The sequence below is a fragment of the Homo sapiens genome, chromosome 1 (assembly GCF_000001405.40).
Source record: "Homo sapiens chromosome 1, GRCh38.p14 Primary Assembly".
NCBI lineage: Eukaryota > Metazoa > Chordata > Mammalia > Primates > Hominidae > Homo > Homo sapiens.
The window spans coordinates 196,906,843-196,934,597 of NC_000001.11; the positions used below are offsets into that span (position 1 = coordinate 196,906,843).

At 36.1% G+C, this 27,755-nt stretch overlaps 1 protein-coding gene and 1 long non-coding RNA gene across 10 annotated transcripts in view, besides 1 other annotated feature; one reads left to right on the forward strand and one right to left on the reverse strand.

The window, feature by feature from the left end:
- Positions 1 to 11,791, forward strand: part of CFHR4 (complement factor H related 4) — a 30,582-nt gene extending 18,791 nt beyond the window's left edge. For 3 of the 9 annotated variants that reach the window (NM_001201550.3, NM_001201551.2, XM_047440639.1), the window contains exons 4-10: positions 19 to 195; positions 474 to 656; positions 3,439 to 3,636; positions 5,898 to 6,080; positions 7,653 to 7,829; positions 8,114 to 8,296; positions 11,368 to 11,791. In NM_001201550.3, the coding sequence (NP_001188479.1) occupies positions 19 to 195; positions 474 to 656; positions 3,439 to 3,636; positions 5,898 to 6,080; positions 7,653 to 7,829; positions 8,114 to 8,296; positions 11,368 to 11,564 (1,298 nt within the window). In that variant the 3' untranslated portion in view covers positions 11,565 to 11,791. Of the gene's footprint in view, positions 1 to 18; positions 196 to 460; positions 657 to 3,438; positions 3,637 to 5,897; positions 6,081 to 7,652; positions 7,830 to 8,100; positions 8,297 to 9,699 lie in introns of those variants that run through there. The other 6 variants (XM_017000111.2, XM_047440683.1, XM_047440640.1 and 3 more) reach the window with 6 other exon arrangements.
- On the reverse strand, positions 908 to 26,871 carry LOC105371675 (uncharacterized). The gene is made up of 3 exons (XR_007066779.1): positions 26,615 to 26,871; positions 16,053 to 16,169; positions 908 to 5,841 (listed from the first exon to the last, which is right to left on the reverse strand). It is a non-coding gene; the product is annotated as an uncharacterized LOC105371675 (long non-coding RNA).
- Positions 26,841 to 27,340: an enhancer, noted in NCBI's record as "H3K27ac-H3K4me1 hESC enhancer chr1:196902813-196903312 (GRCh37/hg19 assembly coordinates)". NCBI's record gives its function as "activates a minimal SCP1, AML or CMV promoter by ChIP-STARR-seq in naive H9 embryonic stem cells {active_cell/tissue: H9 hESC(naive)}" and the evidence as "EXISTENCE:reporter gene assay evidence [ECO:0000049][PMID:30033119]".

Below are 27,755 nucleotides of genomic sequence, written 5' to 3' on the forward strand. Positions count from 1 at the left end.
AATTTTATTTTGTTTCAGAATTTTGTGATATGCCTGTTTTTGAGAATTCCAGAGCCAAGAGTAATGGCATGTGGTTTAAGCTCCATGACACATTGGACTATGAATGCTATGATGGATATGAAAGCAGTTATGGAAACACCACAGATTCCATAGTGTGTGGTGAAGATGGCTGGTCCCATTTGCCAACATGCTATAGTAAGTATTTTATTCAAGTATTTCTTTTTACTAGAATTAAACAAATAGAAACATACATATGTATATGTACACATATGTGTATGAATACATATGTGTACATATACATGTAGTCCTCATTTGAGTGTGAATTACCTTGAAACTTAAAAAAAAAGGTTGAAAATACAAATGTCTTCCTAAGAAATCAAATAAGATACATTTAAGAGTATATAAAAAGCTTTATTCAGAAAGTTTCCAATAAAACTGTTGATTTTTCCCCAATGTAAAGTATTTTTTTTCAGATTCTTCAGAAAACTGTGGGCCTCCTCCACCTATTAGCAATGGAGATACCACGTCCTTCCCGCAAAAAGTGTATCTGCCATGGTCAAGAGTCGAGTACCAGTGCCAGTCCTACTATGAACTTCAGGGTTCTAAATATGTAACATGTAGTAATGGAGACTGGTCAGAACCACCAAGATGCATATGTAAGTTCTTAATATTCTGGATCTGAGAAAATTAGAGTAATAACTTTGATCCTTGTTTATTTATACTAAAATTTTTATGGGTTATTACCCTAGAACTGTGTTCACAAACAGCTATTCTGCTGAATATTTGCCTTTCAGATCTTAATATATAAGTGTATAAGCTTGGAAAATTTTATGTAAACAATGACAAAGTTTCCTTTTAAAAACAGGAATGTTCAGAGACCTCAATTTGTTAATGGACACAATGAGTCTTCAAGAATGATATCCATTTATTGCACACATATGAAATACAGCATCTCACCTTAACATCAATAACCATTTTCACATTATTAATACTTAGGTAAACAGTTTTCAAAGAGTTTTGAAAACACTGTTTTAAAAACCATGGATGTGGAACCAACCCAAATGTCCAGACCCAAATGACAGACTAGATAAAGAAAATGTGGCACATGTACACCATGGAATACTATGCAGCCATAAAAATGGATACGTTCATGTCCATGTCAAAAGTGACATGGAGGAAGCTGGAAACCATCCTTCTCAGCAAACTATCACAAGAACAGAAAACCTAGCACCACATGTTCTCACTCAGATGTGGGAACTGAACAAGGAGAACAGGTGGACTCAGGGAGGGGAACATCACACACCAGGGTCTGTCACAGGATGGGGAGCTAGGGGAGGGATAGCATTAAGAGAAACACCTAATGTAGGTGATGGGTTGATGGGTGCAGCAAACCACCATGGCACATGTATTCCTATGTAAAAAAACTGCATGTCCTGCACATGTACCCCGAACTTAAAGTATAATAAAAACCATGCACTATTAACTAAAATCCTACTTGAAAACCTGAAATGCTTCCTGATAGAGCACATAGCTAGTTAACACTGAGAAGTTCTTTCTCTGATTATTGTTTTTTTCTTACACTTTACCAGTATTTCTAGCAAGAAAGAAAGAAATTAACAGAAAGCTCAGCCATTTCCAAATGCCAATGCTTTCTGTTTTCACCTTCATCTCCTCTCCCCTCGTCCCAGAATGAAAATGAATACACTAAAAAGCCCTCAAGTCTGTAATACAGGTATACTCTTAGAATTTTGTCCCACAAATCCTATGAACTTGAAGAAACACAATTCAAAAAATATGAGCCAAAATAATTATGGCAGCAAAAAGAAAACCTAAAAGAAAATTTGCCACAAATTTCTACTAGCCTATGAGGTAGAGAACTGAGATACCCATCAGGCCTTGCATATCAGATAACTTATTCCTGTCACAGCTCTTAAACTGTAAACTCACGAGTTTTCCAAATGCTCAAGTTCCTAAGTACAGGATGATACAAGCAGTTCTTTTCTGTGATATGACTCATTTCTTTTATTTTGATGCTATGCTACCTTTTACCTTTTATATTGACTGATGATGCTGATATTTTGGCTGATCCTATGATGGGCTAAACCTTAATTATTGTCCCTATTTATGTATCCACTTCTGTAGATGATCATGTGTAAGTCCGGGCTCCAAACCATGCAAGTGGCAAGACTGCAGAGGAAAATTCGTATCCTCAAATCAAAATAGTTTACAAGTATCTTTGAACATGATTTCATAGGAAAAATTTAGTATTAGGTTTCAGAGATAAATTCTGAGTCTTAAATTTGATTGACTGAGGAGATGGACACTCCTAAGATGGATTTCACAGCAAAATCATTACCTCTTCTCATAATCAAGAACAGGAAAGGATTATAATTATCTGAGGACATAAGATCAGTTCCATGATACAAGCAAGACTTTCAGTCTTAAAATCTAAAGAAGCAAAGAGCATTCAAGCAGGGAATTCTAGGGAAAAAGGCAACCTTATGAAAAATATTACATATACATATGGCATATTAAAGTAATAAGGAAAACATTCCAGAACAGCAGAAAACTTTAGAAACTTTTGAAAAATATGTTTGGAGAAGTATGTAGTGCTCAAATAATATTTATTTTTGAATTGTAAACAGCCCCTGAATGTATTGAAGAGATCTTAAAAATTTTTGGATTTCAAAAGTGATATGTACTATGTTAAGAAATTTATTTAAGTGCTTGAAAGATGGATTAAAATATGATTTGGGGAAATTTCTAAAGAAATACTAATGTTAATAAGGGCTAGACTTGAGTGCAGAATACTTGCATCAAAAGGAGAGAAGAGGAGTGAATGATATCATCAAAAATGAAAAGTTTACCATGGAAGAACTGGGCTTAATACCTAGCGTATGGGTTGATAGGTGGAGCTAACCACCATGGCACACATTTACCTATGTAACAAACCTTCACATCCTACACATGTATCCAGGGAACTTAAAAAATAATTATAAAATTTAAAAAAAAATCTAAAAGAAAACCAGCCAGGCGCGGTGGCTCACACCTGTAATCCCAGGACTTTGGGAAGCCAAAGCAGGTCGATCACCTGAGGTCAGGAGTTCGAGACCAGCCTGACCAATATGGTAAAACTCTGTGTCTACTAAAATTACAAAAATTAGATGGGCGTGGTGGTGTGTGCCCATAGTGCCGGCCACTCAGGAGACTGAGGCAGGAGAATCACTTGAACCTGGGAGACGGAGGTCACAGTGAGCAGTGATCGCACCACTGCACTCCAGCCTGGGAGACAGAGCGAAATTTCATCTAAAAAAAAAAAAAAAGTAAAGAAAAAAAAAAACATTATTTGGAAGGTAACATAATCAAAACAGTCATCTCTTATATCATTGTCTGTTACAGTGAAACATTATTTATACTATTTTTGTTTTTTGTTACAAGCAATGAAACCTTGTGAGTTTCCAGAAATTCAACATGGACATCTATATTATGAGAATACGCGTAGACCATACTTTCCAGTAGCTACAGGACAATCTTACTCCTATTACTGTGACCAAAATTTTGTGACTCCTTCAGGAAGTTACTGGGATTACATTCACTGCACACAAGATGGGTGGTTGCCAACAGTCCCATGCCTCAGTAAGCAAACCTCTTTACAACAATATGTGCATAAAACTTGCAAAGAATGGAGAGAGAAGAGCAAACAAATGATTACATTGTCTTATATGACAGAGATGGTACCAAAGGAAGAGTTGTTCATGCAAAAACACCAAACTAGATCTTTTCTGTTATGAGACCTTCATGAAAATCACATGAGAAATAAATATAGGAACCTTATGAGAATACCTATATAATTTAAACATATTTTATCATAAAAACTAAAGATAAGTAACATTGAATACTGACCTTTTTGTACAAACATTTAGTAGTAGCTTTAGTTTTCCTTCAGTGATACGTCATTTTTGTGTACTGATGCAGTCTTATTTAAATATTCAAAAAATTATTTTAATATACTATTTTGATCAAATTCATGTTCCTAATCTACCTTTTAATCATTTTATGGTCTTTAGGACAATGTATTCTCAGTTATTTGGAGAATGGATATAACACAAAATATGAAGGAATATCTTTACAGAGTCAATCTGTAAAAGTTGAGGATATCCTGGCTACAGTCTTTCAAATGTGCAGACCACAGTTCCATGTACAGAGGATGAATGGTCTCCTCCTCCCAGATGCATTCGTGTCAGTTAGTCCACTTGTTTGAGACCCCAGTATGTCCTTAACTGTCTAAGATCTACACCTTTAACTGGAAAATTTTGTATATCAACTCTCAAGCTGAATATATGTCTTTTTTATTTTTAAATAGAAGCCTAGCTAGCTTTCAGTTCCAAATGTGTCTGAATACATTTATAATTTCTGGATAATGAGTGGATTCTGTCACTTAGTAGTCAAGTAACAATAGAAATATAAATCATGAATAGCACAAAATAAATAGACTACGGATTAAAGTAACATTGCTTCAGTATTTATATTGAAATCATGCTAAATGCATTGATTTAAGTAGATTATAAAATTATAGCATTAATTTAAAAATAAATATAATGCTTGCCCAAAGGTCACTGCTACATCTCTCACAACTATGTCATATCTATTTTTATAGTTAATGCTCTGTTGCTTTAAATTAAGGCTGATCTTCAGTTATAGCTGACTTTCACTTTTTAGGTAAAGGGGTCTCTGAAAGTTGTTTGTGTGTATTGCTTGCAATTTACCAAACATTCCATTATAGAAACCATATGAATATTATGATATAATTGAGATGAAAGACAATGGGAATCTTCTTACCCCTTTGTAAGAGCAACTGTCCTCAACAATAGGCCTAAGCCACTGAAAGAAAAGTCCCTTTTTCTCCTGCCATAGGCACCAACTCTATCATTAATCCACCTAATAAATATTGTTGTGTGTCAAGCACTTTATAGGTATTGAAAATAAAACTGTTTACAATAGAAACTGAACACTGTAGTTTAGAGGCTGGAGGAGATTAATAGGAAAGTAGGCAAGAATAGATCAGAAAACTCATGATTATGACAAATGCTATATTATAAATATGCATCATCTTTAACATGATTTTTCTTTCAGATAGTAAAATTAGTCCATTTACATTTGTTTTCTAATTACTAATTAGAAAAGAACATATACATTACTAATATCTTAAAACATATACATTACTAAAATAATTACTACCTTATACATATACCCATTAGTAATGTATAGAACACATACATTACTAATATATAAAGAACAAATACATTGCTAATATATTAGAACTTATTTTTGCTATCTTATTTGCTTTCTTTTTTCTGCTTACATTTCCACATGCCTCTCAAACACCACGTCTATATGGGTTTAAGCACCCACTTAAGATGACGACCACTTTAAATTCTTGGAGACAACGGATTTACAAAATTACTTTCTTGCCTATGGTAGCAGTGTGTACCGTATCTTTGCCTGGGAAATGGCATTTGACTTAAGGAGGTTTAAGACCCCTTAATAGTACCAAAAATACTCAGGTTGTTGCAAAGTAGCCAGAAAGTCTTCCAAAATATCATTAGGGACTTGAGAGTCTGCTAGATGTGCATTCCTTAAGGCCCGCCAGAGCTCTGTTGACAGTCTCAAGGATTCTTTGCTTTTATTCTGCCCTTCCCTGTGTCTTCAACATTTCCTTCAGAAATTCGTGGTTTCCTTTAAGAACACGGATGTCTAGGAAACTTCCAGTTTTGCTGTTTTCAATTCATTAACAAATGTTTCATTGTTTTGCCATATTGCCATGTTTTTACTTGTTCCCTCCTATAAAAGAAGTATTCAACAAATATTTACTTTTTTCTCTACTTTTTCTATTTTAGGAACATGCTCAAAATCAGATATAGAAATTGAAAATGGATTCATTTCTGAATCTTCCTCTATTTATATTTTAAATAAAGAAATACAATATAAATGTAAACCAGGATATGCAACAGCAGATGGAAATTCTTCAGGTTCAATTACATGTTTGCAAAATGGATGGTCAGCACAACCAATTTGCATTAGTAAGTGATTTACATATTCCCATTCAGTTTCTGTCAACTTCGTTCCTCTCTTTGAGATGATAGTGTTTTACTTAAAAATATAGAAAACACTTTTAGGAGTAAAGAGATACAAATACTTCTAAAACCATTCAACATTCTGTGCCAAATTAAGTCTTTTGCATGTTTAGAGTAATGGCTACTTGGGAAGATGATCATTTCATCTCTTACAACTCAATCTGCCTTTACATAAAAGCAATCTTATCATGTACAGACTAGTTAGGGAGCTGCATGAGAATAACAGCAAAATGTGTTAGTTGCCATTAAAAACTTCGTTGTTTTCCCTTTCTTTGTATTTCAAAATTATCAACTGCTTGTATTGCATTCCTTGCTCACACTCAGAAAAGTTGTACATGTCGGGGGAGAAATGAGTGCTTAATTCTGAATTTCTGCTAGCATCAGGAGAATCAGACCGTAATAATTTGTATCAATGATGCTACTGAGGATATCCAATCAAAAAATTATCTCTACCCTATTGTTTACTACAGAGAAAACAAGTAAAGGAAAAGGGTAGGTGGGTGGGCTGAATGTTTACAAACCTCCTACCTGCCAATGGATTCTTTACATGTAAAGTTCTCTGAACATGCTCGACCTTTACTTATTATGATAAAGAGATTGCATAATGAACAAAGGAAATCTTTCAGTGGCAAAAGTTGATTTTTTTTCTTTCCTCTTTATATATTCACAAAGATTTTTAAAGATAAATTGCCTAATGTATTTTTAACCCAGATACTGTTGTATAATTTACATACTCCCAAATCCACTTCATTATCAAGGGTACAATTCAACTATTTTTAGCCATGAGATAATATGGAACCTTGATACATAATACAACATGGATGACTCTCAAAAATACTAGGCTAAGTGAGAAAAAAGAAAGACACATTTACAAAGTGATTATCTCAATGTTACCATGAGTTTTGGGGGCTATATCAATTCCTACATTTCTAGAATACTGTTTTCAATTTCTATGCTTATCATGGGCTCTGTGTAAAGAAAAAGGTGTATACTTCAATTTTACTCAGCTTTGATAAATGATCTACTTTAAAACTTGTAAAATAAAAGACAGGATGCTTCATAAATTTTTATAGAACTTATATCCAATTAATATAATTTTTATCTAATATATACACCCTTACTGTTAGTAAATCGTTACATAACTACATAAATGGTTTCGTTAACTTTTAAATTCACAAAATTTTATCATCTTTAAAATAATAGATTGTAGTATCATAGTAGTAGACTTTAATAACAGCCAATGAGATTTTTCACAAATAAAAATAGGTCTGACCAAATGTTTCTAATATATTTTCACAGGATTTGAATGATAAGAAAGAATATACAGAGAGAAATATATTTAACTATTGTAATTAACTATTATAGCACAAAAAGCACTGATTGTCAGACTATTTTTAATAGTACTCAATTTATTAGCACACACTGATTGGTAAATTTTATCCCTACAATGGGACTTTCTTAGTTGAGTTGTGCATCGTATGGCATAGAAAAGCAATCCTCAATTTTATTTTGTTTCAGAATTTTGTGATATGCCTGTTTTTGAGAATTCCAGAGCCAAGAGTAATGGCATGCGGTTTAAGCTCCATGACACATTGGACTACGAATGCTACGATGGATATGAAATCAGTTATGGAAACACCACAGGTTCCATAGTGTGTGGTGAAGATGGGTGGTCCCATTTCCCAACATGTTATAGTAAGTATTTTATTCAAGTATTTTTTATTAGAATTAAATAAAATAATAGACACCTACATATGTATATGTACACATATGTGTGTACATATATGTACATATATATGTAGTCCTCCTATGAGTGTGAATTATCTTGAGACTTAAAAAAAAAAAAAACAACGTTGAAAATGCAGATGTCTTCCTAAGAAATCAAATAAGATACAGTTAAGAGTATATAAAAAGCTTTATTTAGAAAGTTTCCAATAAGACTATTGATTTTTCCCCACATATAAAGTATTTTTTTTCAGATTCTTCAGAAAAGTGTGGGCCTCCTCCACCTATTAGCAATGGTGATACCACCTCCTTTCTACTAAAAGTGTATGTGCCACAGTCAAGAGTCGAGTACCAATGCCAGTCCTACTATGAACTTCAGGGTTCTAATTATGTAACATGTAGTAATGGAGAGTGGTCGGAACCACCAAGATGCATACGTAAGTTCTTAAAATTCTAGATCCTGAGAAAATCAGAGTAATAAGTTTGATATTTGCTTTTTTATACTAGAATTTTTATGGGTTATTACCCTAGAACTGTGTTCACAAACAGCTATTCTGCTGAATGTTTGCCTTTCAGATCTTAATATATAAGTGTATAAGCTTGGAAAATTCCATGTAAACAATGACCAAGTTTCTTTTTTAAAACAGGAATGTCGGCCTGGGGTGGTGGCTCACGCCTGTAGTCCCAGCACTTTGGAAGGCCGAGGCAGGCAGATCACGAGGTCAGGAGTTCGAGATCAGCCTGACCAACATGGTGAACCCTGTCTCTACAAAAAATACAAAAATTAGCCAGGCATGCTGGCATATGCCTGTAATCCTAGCTACTCAGGAGGGTGAGGCAGGAGAATCATCTGAACCCGGGAGGCAGAGGTTGCAGTGAGCGGAGATTGCACCATTGCCCTCCAGCCTGGGCGACAGAGGGAGACTCCGTCTCCAAAAATAAAAAAATAAAAAATAAAAAATAAATAAATAAAACAGAAGAAGAAGAAAAGAAAAAGAGAAAAAGAAAAAACCAAGAATGTTCAGAGTCTTCAATTTGTTAATGGATACAATGAGTCTTCAAGAATGACATCCATTTATTGCGCACATATGAAATATGGCATCTCAGCTTAACACCAGTAATCATTTTCACATTATTAACACTGAGGTAGAGTTTTCAAACAGTTATGAAAACACTGTTTCAAAAAACCACGAACTATTAAATCCTCCTTGAAAACATGAAATTTTTCCGGATAGAATACATAGCTGGTTAACACTGAGAAGTTCTTTCTCTGATTATTATTCTTACTTATATTTTATCAGTATTCCTAGCAAGCAACAAAGAAATTAACGAAACTTCAGCCATTTCCACAACCCATTGCTTTTCCATTTTTACCTTATTCTCCTCTTCCCTTATACCATAATCAAAATGAATACACTAAAAACCCCTCAAGCCAGTAATATAGGTATACTTCTAGAATTTTGTCCCCCAAGTACTATGAACTTGAAGCAACACAATTCAAAAAAATATAAGCCACAATAATTATGGCAACAACAAGAAAACCTAAAAGAAAACTTGCCACAAGTTTCTACTAGCCTATGAGGTAGAGCCCTGGGATACCCATCAGTCCTTGCATGTCAGATAACCTATTCCTATCACAGCTCTTAAACTATAAGTTCATGAGTTTTTCAAGTGCTCAAGTTCCTAAGTAAAGGATGATACAAGCCGTTCTTTTCTGTGATGTGACTCATTTCCTTTATTTTGATGCTATGCTACCTTTTACCTTTCATATTGACTGATGACGCTGATATTTTGGCTGATCTTACAATGGGCTAAACCTTAATTATTGTCCCCTACTTAGGTATCCACTTCTGTAGATGATCATGTCCAAGTTTGAGCTCCAAACTATGCAAGTGGCAAGACTGAAGAAGAAATTAGTATCCTCAAATCAAAATAGTTTACAAGTATCTTCAAACTTGATTTCATAGAAAAGTGTTAGGTTTCAGAGATAAATTCTGAGTCTCAAATTTGATTGAATGGGGAGATGGACACTCCTAAGATGGGTTTCACAGCAAAAGCATTACCTCTTCTCACAATCAAGAACAGGAAAGGATTATAATTATCTGAAGATACAAGATCAGTTCCATGATACAAGCAAGACTTTCAGTCTTCAAAACTAAAGAAGCAAAGAGCATTCAAGCACAGAATTCTAGGGAAAAAGGCAACCTTATGGAAAAGATTACATATACATATGGCATATTAAAGCAATGAGGAAAACTTTCCCAGGCAGCAGGAAACTTTAGAAAGTTTTGGAAAATATGTTTGGAGAAGTATTTAGAGTTCAAATAATATTTATTTTTGAATTGTAAACAGCCTCTGAATGTATTGAAGAGCTCTTAAAATTTTTTGGATCTCAAAAGTGATATGTACTATGTTAAGAAATTTATTTAAGTAAGTACTTGAAAGATGTATTAAAATATGATTGGGGAAATTTCTAAAGAAATGCTAATGCTAATAAGGGCTAAACTAGAATGCAGAATACTTGAGTCAAAAGAAGAGATAGGTGAGTGAATGATATCATCAAAAATGAAAAGCTTGCTATGTAAGAACTGACATTTTTATCATGTAAGAATTAGGCTTAATACCTAGGGTATGGGTTGATAGGTACAGCAAACCACCATGGCACACATTTACCTATGGAACAAACCTGCACATCCTGCACATGTACCCTGGAACTTAAAAAAAAATTATAAATTTTTTTACAAAAGAATTTTATAAAAGAAAACCCATATGTGGAAGTAACATTATCTTACTGATTTTACAGATGAAGGCATAGTGAGATAGAGTAATTTGTCCATAATCATGTAGGGATTCACATTAACTCCTGTGTGCTTATCCTTGCCTCTTTAAAATAGAAAATGAAGATGACAGGGATAGATGATGGTGATAGAGAGAGAGATAATTGACAGATATTGAGGTGTATGTATGTATGTATGTATGTATGTATATATAGAGAGTTTTATTTTAATAGATGACTATTAGAAAGATTATACCTTTCTACAGTTCTTTTTCTACACTGTGGGCATAAGAGAAAAATATAAACATAGAATTAAATTAGCAAAATGTGAGTACATTTGGAGTGCTTGTAGTCACGGCTTGTCAAATGGGGGAAAGGAGGATAAGTAACCATGACTCCAGTGGAACATGTTAGCATAATCCTTTTTGATATGAAGTCACTAGGGTGGACACAACATGTTTTAGGGAAGAAGAGTTCAGGCTCTAGAGAAAGACTGCCAGGGTTCACGTTTATCACCTCACCTGATGATCTCTGCTGTGACGTTGGGGAAGTGCAACTGAACTTATTATATTTTTGAAATGCTAAAGTCAGTATGTAGCACAAATTAATAACTATTAACTATTTGGATTATTTTATAATTTTATTTTATCCTAAACTACTCATTAGGATGCATTTTATTTGCTCATGAAAGGCAAGATTATGATTGTTAATTGTTTCTTTTTCTGCTTTCAGATCCATGTATAATAACTGAAGAAAACATGAATAAAAATAACATACAGTTAAAAGGAAAAAGTGACATAAAATATTATGCAAAAACAGGGGATACCATTGAATTTATGTGTAAATTGGGATATAATGCGAATACATCAGTTCTATCATTTCAAGCAGTGTGTAGGGAAGGCATAGTGGAATACCCCAGATGCGAATAAGGCAGCATTGTTACCCTAAATGTATGTCCAACTTCCACTTCTCACTCTTATGGTCTCAAAGCTTGCAAAGATAGCTTCTGATATTGTTGTAATTTCTACTTTATTTCAAAGAAAATTAATATAATAGTTTCAATTTGCAACTTAATATGTTCTCAAAAATATGTTAAAACAAACTAAATTATTGCTTATGCTTGTACTAAAATAATAAAAACTACCCTTATATTGGACTTCCTATCAATGAATTAGTAAGTATAGAAACAGATAACTGAATGGCTTTCTGCATATTGTACAGTATACCTAGACATAGAAACAAAATGACTTTAGACTTTATTTGGGGAAGTAATAATAACATAAAATTAGATGTTAAAATTGTAAGTGAAAATAAACACACTATAGTATTCCCTTATTGCAGCCATGGTCCTCTAGATGCAGTTAACCAAATAGGGTCATTTTTATTAAAAGTAGTGTTTCCTGCCAAACACTGACATTACATCATTATCATGATTTAAAGGAAAAAGTACTAAAGAAGGTGAATTATCATCATTTTCCTGTGAAAAAAGAAAAGAGGTTTTGCTAACCCTTTCAGAGCACTGGGAACACAGCCAGAAGTGCATTAAATGTATATATTAACTTGGGCAATGCTGACACTTTAGGATGCTGAAGCCAGGTGCAGTGGCACACGCCTGTAATCCCAGCACTTTGAGAGGCCAAGCTGGGAATCATCTGAGGTCAAAAGTTCGAGACCAGCCTGGCCAACATGGTGAAACCCTGTCTCTACTAAAAATAGAAAAACTAGCTGGGCATCATGGCGTGCACCCATAGTCCCAAGCTACTCAGGAGGCTGAGGTGGGAGAATCACTTTAACCAGTGGGGCAGAGGTTGAACTGAGCCGAGATAGTGCCACTGCACTCCAGCCTGGGCAATAGAGTGAGACTCTGTCTTAAAAATAAATAAATAGGATTCTGAAAATTCCTATTTAAGGAAATAATTCTTTTTCTGATTTATTTAAGGCTACATTTGTATTTTCTTAATACAAATATTTTGAAAGTTTCTTCACATATGGTTTTTGCATTTCTTATTAAGTTTTGCTTCCGATTTTTTTTTGTCTTTTCTCCTGTTAATTGCCTTCACTCTCTTTCTGTTCTGTACTTTTTTTTGTATATAAGAATTTTTTGAAAAGATTGTATATCCCTGTTAACAAATTGAAATCTCTATTCACTTTAATAGATTTTTAGCCCCAGTTAGCATATGGTTAGTGAGAAATTGCAGGGTAAGAAGAAAACAATGCTCCCTTTCCCAACACTTTTCCTGATTATAGAGAAAAAAGCATGAACTTGTATAATAATCTAGTCCTGTACAGAATAAGAAATATTAATTGCTAGACTGAGAATGTTTTTGTGACTAAAGCTAGGAATAACTTTTTAAGACTGAAGAATGATATAAGCTATCAAATCTAACTCAGTTTTCAAATAACAGGTTTGCAGAGACTGGAGAATAAAAAGTAAAAAATTGTTTTATTAATTCCAGTGACTAATTCTACTTCATCAACATATATCATAAATAAAATTTCAAAAATAATTGCTGATATGGTTTGGCTGTGTCCCCACCCAATTCTCACCTTGAATTATATAATCCCCATGCATCAAAGGTGGGGCCAGGTGGAGATAATGGAATCATGCAAGCAGTTTCCCCCATACCCTACTCATGGTAGTAAATACGTCTCATGAGATCTAATGGTTTTATAAATGAGAGTTCCCCTGGACAAGTTCTCTTGCCTGCCACCATGTAAGATGTACCTTTGCTACTCATTCACCTTCTGTCATGATGGTGAGGCCTTCCCAGCAACGTGGAACTGTGAGTCCATTAAACCTCTTTCCTTTATAAATTACCTAGTCTCAAGTATGTTTTTATTAGCAGTGTGAGAATCAACTAATACAGTAAATTGGTATTACACAGTAGAGTGGGGTGCTGCTGTAAAGATAACCAAAAATGTAGCAGTGACTTTGGAACTGGGAAACAGACAGAGGTTGGAACAGTTTGGAGGACTCAGAAGAAGGCAGGAAGATGTGAGGAAGTTTGGAACTTCTTAGAGACTTGTTAAATGGCTTTGACCAAAATGCTGATAGTGATTTGGAAAATACAATCTAGGCTGAGGTGGTCTCAGCTAGAGATGAGAAACTTGTTGGGAACAGGAGCAAAGGTGATTGTTGCTATGTTATAGCTCAAAGACTGGTGGCATTTTGCCACTGCCCTAGAGATGTGGAACTTTGAACTTGAAAGAGATGATTCAAGGCATCTGGTGGAAAAAATTTCTAAGCAGCAAAGCGTTCAAGAGATGACTTGGGTGCTGTTAAAAGCATTCAATTTTATATATTCACAAATATATGGTTTGGAATTGGAAATTATGTTAAAAGGGAAGCAGAGCATAAAAGTTCAGAAAATTTGCAGCCTGATGATTTGATAGAAAAGAAAAACCCATTTTCTGGGGAGCAATTTAAGCTGGCTGCAGAAATTTGCACAAGTAATGAGAAACCAAATGTTAATCACCAAGACAATGGGGAAAATGTCTCCAGGGCATGTCAGAGGTCTCCAGGGCATGTCAGAGGTCTTCAGGACAACCCCTCCCATCACAGGCCCAGAGGCCTAGGAGAAAAAAATGGTTTTGTGAGCAGGGCCCAGGACCATGCTGCTTTTTGCAGTTTCAGGAGTTGGTGCCCTGCATCCCAGCAGGGGCTAAAAGGGGCCAACATAGAGCTCAGACCATTGCTTTGGATGGTGCAAGCCCCAAGCCTTGGTAGCTTCCATGTGATGTTGAGATTTTGGTTCACAGAAGTCAAGAATTAAGGTTTGGGAACCTCTGCTTAGATTTCAAAGGATGTATGGAAATGCCTGGATGTCCAGCAAATGTTTGCTGCAGGGGTGGGGCCCTCATGGAGAACCTCTGCTATGGCAGTGCAGAAGGAAAATGTGGGGTGGGAGCCCCCACACAGAGTCCCCACTGGGGCACTGCTTAGTGGAGCTGTGAGAAGAGGCCCACTGTACTCCAGACCCCAGAATGGTAGTTCCACCGACAGTTAGCATCGTGCACCTGGAAAAGATGCAGACACTCAATGCCATCCCATGGAAGCAGTCAGGAGGGAAGCTGTACCCTGCAAAGCCACAGGGGTGGAGTTGCCTAAGACCATGGGAACCCACCTGTTGCATCAGCGTGACCTGGATGTGAGACATGGAGTCAAATGAGATCATTTTTGAGCTTTAAGATTTGACTGCCCTGCTGGATTTTGTACTTGCATGAGACCTGTAGCCCCTTTGTTTTGGCCAATTTCTCCCATTTGGAACAGGTTTACTTACCCATTGTCTGCACCATTGTCTGTACCATTGTATCTAGGAAATAACTAATTTGCTTTTGATTTTACAAAGGGACTTGCCTTGTCTCAGATGAGACTTGGGACTGTGGACTTTTGAGTTAATGCTGTAATGAGTTAAGACTTTGAGAGGCTTTTGGGAAGGTATTATTGGTTCTGAAATGTGAGGACATGAGATTTGGGAGGGACCAGGGTGGAATGATATAGTTTGACTCTGTGTCTCTGCTCAAATCTTACTACATGTTAAGGGCAGGGCCATGTGGAGATAATTGAATCATGGGGACTATTTCCCCATATTGTTCTCATGGTAGTGAGTAAGTCTCACAAGATCTGATGGTTTTATAAATGGGAGTTCCCCTGAACAAGCCCTCTTGCATGTCACCATGTAAGATGTGACTTTGCTCCTCATTTACCTTCCACCATGATTGTGAGGCCTCCCCAGCAGTGTGGAACTGTGAGTCAATTAAACCTCTTGTTTTAATAAATTACCTAGTCTCAGGTATGTCTTTATTAGCAGCATGAGAACAGACTAATATGATTGCCTTAGTTTCCTAAAATGGTACAAAAATAAATGGCAGGAAACCACAACTGTAGGAGCAACAAGCAATATCATCAGGAAGATGAAAATAAAATGTGATATAAAAGCATCAGTGGGGTTATTAAAGAGTAGAGTATGCACCTAACAAAGTGAATTGGTGTGATAGATAAGAAATTTGGTGTAGTGGATTTTCAAAGGGAAACCATAAAGAAATGAATGATTATAGAGATTATTAATCTGGAGAATAAACAATAAAAATCTAAGTCTAGGGAAGAAACCAGAACAATTGCAATAAGTACAATCATCAAAATATTCTTACATTCCTTTCTAAACAATTATTCCTAGTGTATAGCTTAATGTGGTTCCAGGCAAAGTGAGAGATAAAATCTCTAGAATAAATCACTAGATAAAATCACTAGAAACATAATCTAGCCAATTGTTTCTTAATTATAAGACTAATGAACAAATATTACAAATCTTTAGGCAGGAAAATAAAAATGACTGAAAATGAAATCTTAGGGAAAACAGAATGGTTGTTATATTAAAATGTAAATATACTGGTGTGATATTTATCAAGCAAAATACCTATTTATGGGCCAGACATAGTGGATCATCCTGTAATCCCAGCACTTTGGGATGCTGAGGTGAAAGGGTTGCTTGAGGTCAGGAGTTTGTGATCAGCCTGGGAATCATAGCAAGATCCTGTTTATAAAAACAAAGAAAACGAATTAGCTGGGCATGGTGGTGCACGCCTGTAGTCCCAGCTACTAGAGGAGGATGAGGTGGGACAATTGTGACACTGCACTCCAACCCAGCCACAGAGCCAGTCCCTGTCTCAAAACGAAAATAAAACAACCCCCCTATTTATTAGTTCATTAATTTGTGCCTAGAAATAAACTGTTTTAACACACCCATTAAGAATCATTATATGCCAAGCCTTTTATCTAGATAGAAAGCACATTTTGAATTTGAAAATACTATTGCTTGATATGAAGTTAATTATAACTTCTTTGAAGATACAATGCAAACACAAAATTCAGAATACAAAAGTATGTAGACAGTATGTTGTTAACAATAAGGGAAGAAAATATAGCGGGGAGATTGGCAGGAAAAACAAGACATTTTGATTTTATCACTTTGAGGTTTCTTCTACTTTACAGTTATTTTATTTATTTATTTATTTTTCATTTTGTGGGTACACAGTAGGTATATATATTTATGGGGTGTATGAGATATTTTGATACAGGCATGCAACGTGAGATAAGCACATCGTGGAGAATAGGGTATCCATCCCCTCAAGCATTTATCCTTTGAGTTACAAACAACCCAATTACACTATTTAAGTTATATTGAAGGTATACTATTAAATTATTGTTGACTATAGTCGCCTTATTGTGCTATCAATTAGTAGGTCTTATTCATTCTTCTAATTATTTATTTGTACCTATTGAAAATAGGTACCCACCTCCTCCCTGACACCCCCAACCACTGCCTCCCACCACTAGCCCCTTGCGTCTGGTAACCATTCATCTACTGTCTATGTCCATGAGTTCAATTGTTCTTATTTGTAGATCCCACAAATAAGTGAGAAAATGTGATGTTTGTCTTTCTGTGCCTGGCTTATTTCACTTAACATAATGATCTCCAGTTCCATCCATGTTGTTATAAATAACTAGATCTCATTCTTTTTTATGGCAGAATACTACTCCATTGTATATACGTACCACATTTTCTTGATCCATTCATCTGTTGATGGACACTTAGGCTGCTTACAAACCTTAGCTATTGTAAACAGTGCAGCAACAAACATAGGGATGCAGATGTCTCTTCCATATACTGATTTCCTTTCTTTTGGGTATATGCCCTGCAGTGGGATTGCTGGATCATATGGTAGCTCAATGTTTAGTTTTCTGAGGAACCTCCAAACTGTTCTCCATAGTGGTTATGCTAACTTGCGTGTCCACCAACAGTGTGCAAGTGTTCCTTTTTCTCCACATCCTCCCAAGCATTTATTACTGATTTTTGGATATAAGCCATATTAATTGGAGTTAGATGACATCACATTGTAGTTTTGATTTGCATTTCTCTGATAATCAATGATGTTGAGTACCTTCTCATATGCTTGTTTGCCATTTACATGTCTTTCTTTAAGAAATGTCTATTCAAATCTTTTGCACGTTTTTAATTGGATTATTAGAATCTTTCCTATAGAGTTGTTTGAGCTCCTTATATATTGCGGTTTATTCATGTCCTGTCAGATGGGTACTTCACAAATATTTTCTCCCGTTCTGTGGGTTGTCGCTTCTCTTTGTTGTTTCTTTTACTGTGCAGAAGAAGATTTTTAACTTTATGTAATCCCATTGGTTCATTTGTGTTTAGGTTTCCTGTGCTTATGGGATATTGCCCCCAAAATTTTTGAACAGACCTATATCCTGGAGATTCTCTGCAATGTTTTCTTATAGTAGTTTCATAGTTTGAGGTCTTAGATTTAAGTCTGTAATCCACTTTGATTTTTTTTTATATGGTGAGACATAAGGGTCTAGTTACATTCTTCTGCATATGAACATCCTGTTTTCCCAGCACCATTTATTGAAAGACAGTCTTTTCCCCAGTGTACATTCTTGGCACTCTTGTCAGAAATGAGTTCACTGTAGGTGTGTGGATTTACTTCTGTGTTCTCTATTCTGTTCCATTGGTCTATGTGTCTGTTTTTATGCCACTATTATGCTGTTTTGATTACTATAGTTGTGTAGTATAATTTGAAGTCAGGTAATATGATTCCCTAGTTTTGTTCTTATTGCTTAGGATAGCTTTGGCTATTCTGGGTCTTTTGTGGTTCCATATAAATTTTAGAATTGTTTTTTCCTATGTCTGTAAAGAATGTTATTGGTATTTTGACAGTGATTGCACTGAATCTGTAGATTGCTTTAGGTAGTATGGACATTTTAACAATGTTGATTCTTCCAATCCATAAACATAAAATATCTTTCCATCTTTTTGTATCCTTTTCAATTTCTTTCATCAGGCTTTTATAGTTTTCATTAAAGAGCTCTTTAACTTCTTTATTTAATTCCTAGGTATTTAACTTTATGTGAGGCTACTGTAAATGGGACTACTTTCTTGATTTCTTTTTCACATTGTTCACTGTTGATGTATAGAAATGCTACTGATTTCTGTATGTTTATTTCATACCCAGCAAATTTATCAAATTTATCAGTTCTAATAGTTTTCTGGTTGAGTCTTTAGGTTTTTCCGAATATAAGATCATATCATCTGCAAACAAGGATAACTTGGTTTCTTCCTTCCCAACTTGGATGGCCTTTGTATCCTTCTCTTGTCTGATTGCTGTAGCTAGGACTTCCTGTATTATGTTGAATAACTATGTAACAGTGGGCATCCTTGTCATGTTCCAGTCCTTTGAGGAAAGGATTTCAGTTTTTCTCCATTCAGTATGATACTAACTGTGTATCTGTTGAATACAGCTTTTGTTACTTTGAGGTGTGTTCCTTCCATCCCCAGTATTTGAGGGTTTTCATCATGAAGGATATTGAATTTTATCGAATACTTTTTCAGCATCAACTGAAATGATCGTATGGTTTTTATCCTTCATTCTGTTAATATGATGTATCACATTGATTGACTTGTGTATATTGCACCATCCTTGCATCCCACAGGTAAACCCCATTTGGTCATGATGAATGATCTTTCTAATGTATTGCTGTATTCAGTTTGCTAGTATTTTGTTGAGGATTTTTGTATCGATATTTATTAGAGATTTTAACCTGTAACTTTCTCTCTTTCTGGGGTGTGTCTTTGTCTAATTTTGGCATCAGGGTAATACTGGCTCCATATATTCCCCCAGCATCTGCCATACCTCAGTACCATATCAGAAAGAAGGAGCCTAGAGTATTATTCTGTTTCTCTGGGATGTTCTCTCACATACATGCATTCCCTCATCATTGGTCACACTTTTTGCCATTTTCTGTTTACTATCTACCTTAACCAAGCTTAGCATCTGTGGATGGAAGTCCATAGGTGAGCTATAATACCCACCCATAGAGTGCAGCAATAGCCCCTTGCATCAATAGCCTTTCCAGAACTTCCCTCTATGAACATTCCCAATAAGAAAAAGTACAGTCACAAATATAAAACATGGCAGGCGTATCTCTACCACTAGTCAGGGGGCAGCATCTAGGCAGTCTTAGTTTAGTGAGAGAAATAATCATTCCTCAGCCCATTGTCCCTTTAGTAATGTACACTTAAATTCAGAGGACTTGAAGTAATGTTTTCAGCTGCAATGACTTCTTGTGGTAAAATCTACAGCTGTAATTCTAAATTGGTAAAAATGGATCTGGCAAAACAGAAACAGTTTACGGGGTTGGAAATATGTACGATCTGACCATTGATAGCATTTGCCATAATCCATGTGTCTGTACATATCTAAGCATTGCCTTTGATATAACCTCTCAATTCTTTCAGAACTTCCAGACATATTGCCTTCAATGTTATTTACCACGAATCTTGCCTTGTAATCTAGATTTTATTATCTACAAGGTGATTGCTTCACTCAAATTGGGACGTGCTATCAGAAAAATGGGCAGATTGCTTTGCACAAGGAGGAAAAGAATCACAGAGTTTAGATCATTTCAAAAAAGGAGCCAGAAGTTCTTTTGTGGATTATATCATTGGTCAAAAATGCTGGCTGCAAACTGCTTATGAATGTAACATACACCAAGAGCAACCACCAGTGGAGGGCTGCTGCATGTGTCATTTCCATATTATTAGTTTTTCTAAACTGTTCCATGCTAATTGGAATGTTTGTCTGATATTACCTATGAAATAACAGGCATTTTGAGTTTTAGAGTTATTATCCACAATGGTGAGGGCTATCTTCATCAAAGCTCAGTAATGAACAAGGAAGTGTCTTTTAATCCCCCTTTAAAAATTCACAAATAATAACCATACATATTTATGGGGTGCATAGTAATGTGTGTGTGTGTGTGTGTGAGTGTATATATATATACACACATATATATACACACATCTATATACACACACATATATATACATATATATACACACATATATATATAATGTATAGTAGTCAGAGTAATTAGCATCTCCATTATCTCAAACATTTATCATTTCTCTTTCTGTTGGGAACACTGAATATTCTGCTTCCAGCTATTTGGTACTATCTAGTATATTCTTGGTAACTGAAGAAAAATTATATCTAAGTGTTAACCCCAGGTATCTTGAAATGCCAACTCCTAACAGTCACAGCCTGGGAGTTCATGTTAGCCTTCTTGCAACTATGCATATCCACATAATTAATCAAAATCATTTGTGTTTTGGTGAGAATTAGCATCTGCAATGGTGAGTTTTATGTGTCAGCTTAGCTAGGCTGTCAATCCAAGTTATTTAATCAAATATTAATCTAAGTGTTGCTGTGAACAAGGTATTTTATAGATGGAGTTAATAACATCTACAATAAGTTGCCTTTAAGTAAAGATTACCCTTGATAATATGGGTGGGTCACATTCAATCAATTGAAGCAATAAGAGTCAAAACTTCGGCTTCCCAAAGAAGAAATTCTACCTCAAGACTGTAACATCAACCCTTGTCTGAGTTTCTACTCTATTAACCTGCCCTGTGAATTTTGGACTTGCTTATACTCACAAATCAAGTAAACCAATTGCATAAAACAAATCTCTCTCTATCTCATCTATCTATATACACCTCACACTATACATTCTGTTTCTCTGGAAAACACTAATACATCGTCATACCACTTAACATTTTTAAGCAATTAAAATCTCTCACTATCTTCCCAAGATTTGGTATTACTTAATATTCACTAGAGAGGCTGGTTTGACCAATTATAAAATTCCCATTTAACAAGAACCACTAAGACCAGGTGAAGAGAGCCCTTTTCCAAAGTCTGACTATAAGCCGGTAATTGAATTCACTACCAAATTACAAACCATTTATTTCAAGGAATCTGTGGAAAGATTAATCTGGCAGGCACCAATACTTTTCTGTTTTGCAAAACAGACCACATATTTAATGTTATTTCTCTAGTATTGATGGTCATCTGGTCTTTAAATCCTGGCGCTTGGAAGGTAGGATCTGTTGATGAAGGGTCAGAGTGAAGGAGTGCCATGATTTAACCTGTATCTCCCCAAGTCTCCATCAAAACCTTTGTCACACATGAAGCCAATTATATTTGGTTCAGATATTTATCTCAATATTGCTGCGGTTGATTGTTCATTTGCTTTACTTTCCACCATGAGATGTTTTAATATCACCAAACTTGCTAGCAGCAACCAAGAAAATGTATTTCTAGTAATTTCTCCATCATTTTGTATCATATTCTAAATACATACATATATATATATATATATATATATATATATATATTACAAACTCTTGAGTCAAAGTCATATACTCCAAACTACACTCCTACGATTCATTCCAGATAATCTTCCTCTGAGGATTTTCCCTTCAGACAAAGAGTGGATTGGTAACACCCTGGCAATAAACGTTTGTCAGACCCTTCATCCTATCCTCCTTAAATTTCATGGTGCCTTTGCCATATCATGAAGAAGGAAAGAAGCTCAGTGTCCACTTCTGATACCACTCTGCCACTCCTACACTGCTAAGCTAACAGCAGTGATCTTGCTTTCAGAACTAGCAATTCACATTTTTACCTATCATTATGTTAACTGTTGAAAATTATTTAACACAGCATTAATGTCAACAGCATAGTGAGAATTGTGACTCTTATGTGTAGTGTCTGATTATCCTAATCTTCACCTTGAATTCATATGTTTAAGGGAGATGACTCAATGAGTGTCTGTGACCTCTGAAGTTCTTCCATCTCCTTTCCTTTATTAGTTGATGAGCTCCCTCAGCTGCATCTTATGAAATCCAGTTATTTATTATACTTATTTTAGATGAACAACCTAAAAAATGTGATTTGAGCACTTAACTCAGATTCTTATTTATCTTCAATCTGGTGTACACCTAAAGATTCTCTTGCAAGAATTTTAACAAGGGTCAAATTATCAGTCTTCTATGAAACTACAGAAAATATCACAGACTTGTTTTTAAAACTTTTCTTAAAGAAACAGGCAGAAAACTGTCAAAAACATGGGTGAGCGCTACCTAGGTAGAGAAATAAAATATTACTCTTTCATTAGATACAAATAAACTTTGAAAACAAATTTAAATATGATTTCTAAAATAGTTAAGACTTGGTTACATTTGATGACATCAATAAAGATGAACTAGGTAAGTAATCATAATGGAGTACATTCTTAAATGCAATCATTTTTATGACACATACGTACCTCAGAGTGGAGATAAATTAAAATATTAGCATGTAATGTATCATAGTTACTATGTTTTGCAGATTAAAGATGTCCACAAATAATTTGAAAATCCTCTGATTAAGTGACCTATTTCCCCATCATCTTGAACTTGTGCTAACCCATGACTTTTCTGACCAATAGGATACGGTATAAGTATCTCTATGCCAGTTACGGATGTAAGCTTTAAAAAAATAGCAGCTTCTGCCTTGGTGTCTTGTAGCTTCTAATCAGCATGAGAGAATTCTGGGTACCCTGTAGAGAGGCCCTGAGAGTGACAGGAGTCACCTGAACCCCAAATTTCACTTGTTGCTGGCAAAGCACCAAATATGTGACTGAAGACATATTGAACCCTCCACCGCAGAATATTAACCAGATGAATAACAATGAATGTCTCCATTAATACACAGAAAATAAAAGATTTATCCATTTGAACCCCACCAAAATTCTATGCCCCATAGAATTGTGAGATGTCATTAAATGGTATATTAGAAAAGAAGAAATATCTCAAAACACTAACCTAAGTTCCAACTTAAGAAGGTAGGAAATCATGAATATTAGTGTATAAATCAATGAAGCAAGTGCAATATAGAAAAAACTGTTTTCTTAATCTTCTCAAAGAATGAATAAAACCAATCAAAGTTAGTTCTTTGAGAAGAATAAATGATATATTTCTAGCAAGAACAATGAAGAAAAAAAGAAGAAACAAATTACCTGTCATTTGGCATAGTATAGGGCATTGATTGAAATGGTTCCAATAATTGAAGGGTATACAATTATTTTAACTTTTGAAATGTCCAAAGTGTCAGGGTTTTATCTGAAAAACACACCAAAAAAAAAGAGAATACCCAAAAGAGTTCCATTATTAAATGGAAATTTTATATGAAGGAAAATTCTACAAGAAGGTACAGCAATGGCCTTGGTCATATTCATGAGTAAATACCTCCTCTTTTTCTGGGACTCACTCTAGAGACTGCTGAAGCTCTGTCTTAGGCTACTGAAGGAAGAGTTTAAAGGGATTCTCCATTAGAACACCTGCTGCCAGAGGCTAGATGATTATCCTGTCTTTCTGATGGCAGTTCATAAATGAATGGTTACTACTCTACCTGGAAAGTTGTGGCAGATCCTCATGGGAAAATATAAGACTAAAGGAATTCAATAGGGTAAACTTTAATGTGTTTTCTCAGCTATTATGGAAGACATTGAGGACATAAAAGGCCAGATCACATGGGTTGATACCAATTCATGACCAGTGATTAATTAATGCAAAAATAGTTGATGCGAGTACTTGTTGCCTGAGATACTACCTTTATGGGAATTAAAAAGACAAATCAAACTGGGACAAGCTGATGCCCACCAAAATAAAAACTCTACCAGGATTGGAAAGCGACTGGAGTCAACAAATAGGTATTTTGGTTCATTACCTAGAAGTAACTACTTATATACATGAAAGGAATGGTCACAGAAGGACCTAAACCAACAGAAGCACCAGAAAAGGTATAAATTGTTTACCATAATGGTCCAGTTTCTTAGCAAGATAGGTAAGATTTAAAAATTCATTAGGACATATCCACTGGGGTGATGGCCCAGCATACAGCTAGTAAATAGATTATATTTGATGTTCATTCTTAACACCAGGAAGATTTAAGCAAGCTTTGAAGGCCACTAAAACGTATTTGAGACTTGGTTTTTTTCATGGAAGTTAAATCTAACGTATGAAAATTAAATAATCTGAATTGTTTTTGCCCACCAAGTTATATTCTTCTGATCAAGGAAGCTATTTTACAGCACGTGATATACAACAATGGGCAAATAAACACCACATCGAATATATATATCATATCCTTTATCTTCTGCAGAGTAGTGGAAATATTTGAAGTCATTAATTGAAATACCTGCCAAAAAAAAAAAGACTGGGGCAGATAGGTCAGTAATAAAGGATGAAAGAGCTGGTTTACTTGTTTTCAAGTTGTGCATTAAAATTAAACATGAGATAATCATGTGGTTTTGTTTTTAGTTCTGGTTTCTGTGATGAATAACATTTATTGATTCATGTTTGTTGAGCCAACCTTGCACCACAGGAATAAAGCCTACTTGATTGTGGTGTATTAGCGTTTTGATATGCTGCCAGATTCAGTTTGATCAGATTTTGTTGACTATTTTTGCATCTATGTTCATCAAGGATATTGACCAGAAGTTTTCCTTTTCAGCTGTGTCTCTGCCAGGTTTTGGCATTAGGGTGATGTTGGCCTCATAGAATGATTTAGGAAGGAGTACCTCCTCCTCAATTTTTTGGAATAGTTTCAGTAGGAATGATACCAGCTCTTCCTTTCATATCTGGTAGAATTTGCCTGTGAATCCGTCTGGTCCCGGGCTTTTGCTGGTTTGTAGGCTTTTAATTACTGATTCAATTTTGGAACTCATTTTTGCTTGGCTTGAAGATTGAATCTAAATGTCCATCAATGGTAGATTGGATTTTTAAAATGTGGTACACATTTACCATGGAATACTGTGCAGCCATAAAATATAGTGAGATAATGTCCTTTGCAGGAACAGAGATGGAGCTGGAGGCCATTAACTAAGCAAACTAACACAGGAACAGAAAACCAAATACCGTATGTTGTCACTTATAAGTGAAAGCTAAACACTGAATACATATGGATACAAAGAAGAGAACAACAGATACTTGAGGGTGGAGGATGGGAGGAGAGTGAAGATTTAACAAGCCACCTTTGACTACTATGCTTATTACCTAAGTGACAAAATAATTTGCACACCAAACCCCTCTGACATGCCATTTACCTATGTAGAAAACCTGCACATGTGCTCCCGAATCTAAAATAAAAGTAAAACATAAAATTAAAATAAAAAGTTAAACATGGGAGAAAGCAAAGATGATTTACTATTAGATAAATTTCCTAGATAGAGTGGTAGAGGTAAGAACGATTTGGGGATGAAACCAGCACTTATCTACAAATCTTTTCAAACACATCACAATTTTCTTCTTTTCTGCCTTTACCCATAATTTCTGAGTCCAGTTTAAAATGAACAGTTCTTGAAGCATCACTCATATTTAAACAGGAGTTACTGTCTATAGTTTTTAATTTAAATGAATTCAGAAGGGATTGGTGGGCCAGATGAAGGACTGGCAAATGACAGTCATGGGGAACTGTGGCCTGCTGCCTATTTTTGTAGGGCTCTGACTACAATGGTTTTTACATTTTGATATCTTTTTAAAATTAAAGTAAGAAAAATCATTTGATAATTAAAATATTCATAAAATTTATATGAAATTTACATATTTGTGTCCATAAAGTTTTATTGGAACACAACCATGTTCACTAGTTTACATATTCCCCATGGCTGTTTTTACACTATCAGGGCCAACAGAGTAGTTGCAACAGAGACCACAGAAGCTAGAATGTCCCGTCCTCTCACCTGGCCTAACCGGGCCTTCAGGTGGAAATGTTTTGTTACCAAGTAGAGGTAACAGGCCAGTAAGTTTGTACATTTCTAATCCTATCCCATGTGAATGAAAATAAACCAAGAAAGAAGCCTTAGCAAGATTCTTATTTCCAGTGAATAGGTTAACTCCATGGTCAAACCTGATATTTCTTTTTGGAGAGGAAAGTTTGGGTTAAAATAAGTGATAGATAAAAAGAAGGTGACATAATTGCCTAAATAAGAGATCTAACAAATATACTATTTAAAGGGAAAAATCAAACATAACTTTGCTTCTAGAGAGTCTTACAGCAAAAAAATAATTTTCTCTCTTACCTTTTAGTCTGATGTCTGTTACAGTGAAATACCTTGTCTCTCAAAGACCCTACTGAGAGGCGACAATGTGCTGGCAGCCCTCGCAGCCCTCGCAGCCCTCACTCGCTTTTGGTGCCTCCTCGGCCTTGGTGCCCACTCTGGTCGCTATTGAGGAGCCCTTCAGCCCGCTGCACTGTGGGAGCCCCTTTCTGGGCTGGCTGAGGCCGGAGCCGGCTCCCTCAGCTTGTGGGGAGGTATGGAGTGAGAGCCCCGGAAGGAGAGACGTGGGCGGGAACCCGGGCTGCGCCGCGGAGCTTGTGGGCCAGGAGGACTTCCGGGTGGGTGTGGTATCTGCGGGCCCGCACTTGGAATGGCCGGCCCGCGCAGCCGGCCCAGGCAGTGAGGGGCTTAGCACCCGGTCCAGCAGCTGCAGAGGGTTTTCTGGGTCCCCCAGCAGTGCCGGCAGGCCAGCGTGGAGCTTGAATTCTCGTGGGGCCTCAGCTGCCTCCCTGTGGGGCAGGGCTTGGGACCTGCAGCCAGCCATGCCTGAGCCACCCCACTGCCGTGGGCTCCTGTGCAGCCAGAGCCTCCCTGGCGAGAGCGGCCCCCTGCTCCGCAGTGCCCGTTCCCATTAACCGCCCAAGGGCTGAGGAGTGCAGGTGCAGGGCACAGGACTGGCAGGCAGCTCCCCCTGCAGCCAGGTGTGGGATCCACTAGGTCAAGGCAGCTGGGCTCCTGAGTCTAGTGGGGACTTGGCGAATCTTTATGTCTGGCTAAGGGATTGTAGATACACCAATCAGCACTGTGTGTCTAGCTCAAGGTTTGTAAATGCACCAAGCAGCCCTCTGTGTCTGGCTCCAGGTTTGTGTACGCACAAATCAGCACCCTGTATGTGGCTAATCTGGTGGGGACTTGGCGAACCTTTATGTCTAGCTAAGGGATTGTAAATACACCAATCAGCACTCTGTGTCTAGCTCCAGGTTTGTAAACGCAAGTAAAGGATGGGATGTATAGGAAGGACTTTATGGAGTACAGCTGGAGAATGCTGGAGCTCTTAGCAACAGAGGAAGCTATGGATTAGGTAAACTCTTGCATGATCATCTTACATGATCCCTGGAAGAAAATAGCATGAGTAGGACATCACAACCTGTTCTCATTTCTT